The 4,868-nt window shown below is 39.9% G+C and overlaps 1 annotated feature.

Moving 5' to 3' along the window:
• Positions 3,257-4,035: an enhancer, noted in NCBI's record as "OCT4-NANOG-H3K27ac hESC enhancer chr4:34514021-34514799 (GRCh37/hg19 assembly coordinates)". NCBI's record gives its function as "activates a minimal SCP1, AML or CMV promoter by ChIP-STARR-seq in primed H9 embryonic stem cells {active_cell/tissue: H9 hESC(primed)}" and the evidence as "EXISTENCE:reporter gene assay evidence [ECO:0000049][PMID:30033119]".

Below are 4,868 nucleotides of genomic sequence, written 5' to 3'. Positions count from 1 at the left end.
GAGACTATTAACAGTCATAATAATGTATAATATTATTTTCCTCCAATTCCAATGTTTTACTTTATAAGGGGTTCTGTTTTTGAAGAAACTGAACCAAAGTAAGGAAGAAAACCTTTTTAATTACAAAATTTTTAATATGAGACTTCTTATATTATTTAATACATGCTAAACAATGTGCATTCTGAATTGCTAAATGAATGTATTATACCTGTAATTTCCTAAACTACTATTTAAGACATACTTTGGTAAATGCTAAGCTAGAGAAATTCAGGATTTACTATTTGGCCCCATATTTTTGCCTGCCTTGAGATTTAAGTTGATTTTTCAGAAGATCTAACCCTGTTAGAGAAGCTGAATATGACCTATCCTAAATTTTTGTTAGGATTTTGAAACATATGATTATCACTTTGCCCTCACTACCATTAATTACAGTGTGCATACACACAAGCAACCGCATTTCTGCTAGTACATAGCCTTCATTCTTGTGAAAAGATAGAGATGATAAAACCAATCAACCAAGAGAACAGACCAGCAAAATATTCAATAGAGAATAACCTACTAATGTAATTCACCATAGGTGCTATGGTAGACAGTGACTGGGTTGTTACTGTAGATTAGGTAATATTTTTGTCTGAGGGGATGATAAAAAGAAGCTAACTATGTGAGGCTTAGGGTGTGTCAGGATCCAAGCAGGCACACAGAAACAGCAATCTTTATTTTAACAGAAATAATTTAATAAAAGGAATTGGTTAAATAGACATGGGTGGATAGTAATGTAACCACCTGATAGGTTCATCTTGCCTGTTGCCCAGTACAGCCAATTTATTAAGACAGGAGAATTGCAGTAGAGAAAGAGTATAATACACATAGAACAGCTAAATGAAAGACCGAGTTTTATTATTTCTCAAATTAGTCTCCCTGAAAATTCAGAGGCCAGAGGTTTTAAAGATAATTCAGCTGTCAGGGTGCTAGGAAATTGGGAGTGCTGACTGGACAGGTCAGGGAAGAAATCACAGGGAGGCAGAGCTTGTCTTCTTGTGCTTAGTTTCTGGGTGGGGGCCACAAGACAGGATGAGCAAGTTTACCAGGGTGGCACCGGCTGGTCCGTCAGAATGCGGGGTCTAAAAAAATATCCGCCACACCAATCTTAGGTTTTACAATAGTTATGTTATCCATAGGAGGAATTAGGGAGATTAGGAATCTCATAACCTCTGCCTGCATGACTCCTGAGCCATAATATCTAATCTTGTAGCTAATTTGTTGGTTTTACAAAGGCAGCCTGGTCCCTAAGCATGAAGGGGCTTGTTTTAGACAAAGGCTGTTATCATCTTTGTTTTAAAGTTAAATTATAAACTGGGCCGAGCATGAAGGCTTACTCCAGTAATCCCAGCACCCTGGGAGGCAGGGGCGGTCCAACTGCTTGAGCCCAGGAGTTTGAGACAGGCATGATGGTGTGTGCCTGTAGTCCCAACTACTCAGAAGGCTGAGGTGGGGGGATCTCTTGAGCCCAAGATGTAGAGGCTAGAGCGAGCCATGAGCAGGCCACTGCACACCAGCCTGGGCAATAGAGTCAGACTGTGTCTCAACAAACAAACAAAAAAAAAAACAAACAAACAACAGAAGACTATAAACTATAAATTCCTCCTATAGTTGGCTCAGCCTAACAGCAGGAATGAACAGGGCAGTTTGGAGGTTAGGAGCAAATGGAGTGGATTAGGTCAGATTTTTTTCACCGTTGTAATTTTTGCAAAGATACTTTCAGTAAAATCATAAAGAAAATATTGAGCTAACACAGAAAATATAATTTCAAAAACACAGCTACCACCCTTAAGGATAGAGGAAACAAGGGAAAAATGGGGACACTCAGAAACTGGAAGCTTGGAGGAAGCACCCACAGAGCTGACAGAGCACTGCATAGCTGGCATTGGTACCATGGGAACTTAGAGGAAGGAACTGTCAGAGCGGGTACTCAGACCTCTAAGGACAAGATGAATGTCTCTAGTACCTCAGAAGGGATCAGTTTTGTATTTCTGCGTAACAAACTACCATGTCCGGAGTTTGTTTCTTCCGGTGGGTTCTTGGTCTCGCTGACTTCAAGAATCAAGCCGCAGACCTTCGTGGTGAGTGTTACAACTCTTAAAGATGGTGTGTCCCGAATTTGTTCCTTCAGATGTGTCCGGGGTTTCTTCCTTCTTGAGGGTTCATGATCTCGCGGACTTCAAGAATGAAGTTGCGGACCTCTGCAACAAGTGTTACAGCTCTTAAAGGTGGGGTGGACCCAAAGAGTGAGCAGCAGGAGGATTTATTGTGAAGAGCAAAAGAACAAAGCTTCCACACCATGGAAGTTGACCGGAGCAGGTTGCTGCTGCTGGCTGGGGTGGCCAGCTTTTAGTCCCTTATTTGACCCCACCCACATTCTGCTGATTGGTCCATTTTACAGAGCACTGGTTGAGTCCATTTTAAAGAGTGCTGATTGGTCCATTTTATAGAGTGCTAATTGGTGTGTTTACAATCCTTTAGTTGGACACAGAGCACTGATTGGTGCATTTTTACAGAGTGCTGATTGGTGCATTCACTATCCTTTAGCTAGACACAGAGCACTGATTGGTGCATTTTTACAGAGTGCTGATTGGTGCGCTTACAATCCTTTAGCTAGACACAGAGCACTGATTGGTGTGTTTACATTTCTCTAGCTAGACAGAAAAGTTCTCCAAGTCCTCACTTGGCCCAGGAAGTCCAGCTCACTTCACTTCTCATGACCATGAACTTGCAGCTTAAAACAACACTCATTTCTTTTCCCACAGTCCTGTAAATCAGAAATCTGGGCAAGCTCATCTACATTTTCTCCTTGGGTTCTCACAAGGCTAAAATTAAAATATACTCCAGCTAGATTCTTATCTGGAGGATCTCGGGAAGAGTCTCTTCGAGTTCATTAATGTTGTTAATAGAACCCAGTTCCTCTGGCTGTGGATCCGAGCCCCCTGTTTTCTTGAAGGCTATAAGCTAGGAACTGCTTTTAGCTTCTAAATATCCCCTTCATTCCTTATCACTGGCCCCCCTCTATCTTTAAGCTGGCAAAGGCGTACCAAACCGTCCTTATTCTTTGAATCCTTTTGATTTCTCCTTCTGCATTCCTCCCTCAGCCACCAGACAGAGGAATTTCCCTGCTTCTAAATATTTCTATTATTTGATTAGGAATGCCCAGAGCATCTTTCCTTTTTAAGATTAACTATGCCATATAACATAACACAATCATAGGAGTAATACCACATTTATGAGTTTATGAACTATAGGGCAGACTCATAGGGGCTGTATTTGTTTTAAAAGGCTGTACGAAAAATACCGAAGTACCAAAACCTGAATAGTTTAAGCTAACAAAAATTTGTTCTTTCACAGTTGTGCACACAAGAACTTCAAAATTTAGTTGTTGGACAATATTTCTGAAGGAAATCAAAATATTTGACCTCAAATGTATTTTTAATGTATTTTGAGATGGCTGCCACAAGTCCAGCAGACTAAAGTAGCCCTGCAAAGCTGCCTTTTGTGGGGGAAATTTGCAACTGTAGAGAATCTACATTAACACAGCAGGCCTTCTCTTGTCTGGATCTATGAGAGATTAACTGAGTCTGACACCTTTAAAAATCTGAAAGAAACATTTACTATAAGTTCTGTGTGGTTTCATCTACATGACAAGACCAATTTGCTAGCCAAGCCTCCTCTTCTCCTCCTCTCATAACTTCTCTTCCCACTATAATCTGGTTTACCATCATAAGCTGTTTTTGCCATGCTCTGAGCCTGTGTATTTTCTATAACCTCAAGATGGCATAGACATTTCTGTACTTAATTGAGGCGTTGGGTCTACTTTCTGAAGGTTATCTTGTAAACCAGTTAAGTAAATTTGTGTACCTTTCTTCCTAATCTGCCCTTTGTGAGTTGTTTTTTCAGCAAGCCATCAGAGCATTTTCAGGAACATTCAGGAACCTACAGTTCTTACTGAAAGTCTCTGAGAATGTAAACAAGTACACCCATTTTTCCAAGAAAAAGAGAATGAGATCTTTTAAATTATTTTTTCTCTTTCCTCCATTTCCCCGCCCACTCCTTCCTACTTAGCCCTTTAGAAATGTAATTATAGCCTTTTATCTCCCTTTCATCAGACACTCCTTACAGAACAAGTTCATCTGACTATGTGCTTAGAAGCTCCAGAGCAAAACCCTCACCCACCAGGAGTTTGCCTTAAGACACAACAATCAATTTACGCCCCAAAATATGCCTGCTACGAAACTCTCTCCTGGAGAATTTCAGCAACTTTTACAACCTAGTTCTGCCCTTGACTCAAAGATACCAACTTGATTCCCTGGTAGGTAAGGCACCAAAGTGAGTACGCAACCTGTACCTGCTCACGTCCTCCTCTTCATTCCACTCATGCCATGTGTCCTTATAAAATTGCCTGCTCTCTGCTCCAAAAGTGAAGCAGTACCCTTAAGACAGAAAGCCTTTACTTCTTCCTCTAAACAGCTAACCAAGGAGGCAAATGATCTCTATAATGAGTATTAAAAAGTACTGCTCAAAGAAATCCAAGAAGACACAAACAAATGGAAAAAACATCCCTTACTAATGGAGAGGAAGAATCAATATCATTAAAATGACCATACTGCCCAAAGCAATTTCCAGATTCAAAATATATATATATAATATATAATATATATGTAGCATATATATACAGCATATATACTCTGTAGCATGTATATACAGCATATATACTCTGTAGCATATATATACAGCATATATACTCTGTAGCATATATATACAGCATATATACTCTGTAGCATATATATACAGCATATATACTCTGTAGCATATATATACAG

The sequence above is a fragment of the Homo sapiens genome, chromosome 4, assembly GCF_000001405.40.
Source record: "Homo sapiens chromosome 4, GRCh38.p14 Primary Assembly".
NCBI lineage: Eukaryota > Metazoa > Chordata > Mammalia > Primates > Hominidae > Homo > Homo sapiens.
Note: the sequence above shows the minus strand (reverse complement) of the source record. Positions and strands in the feature narration are given on the sequence as shown.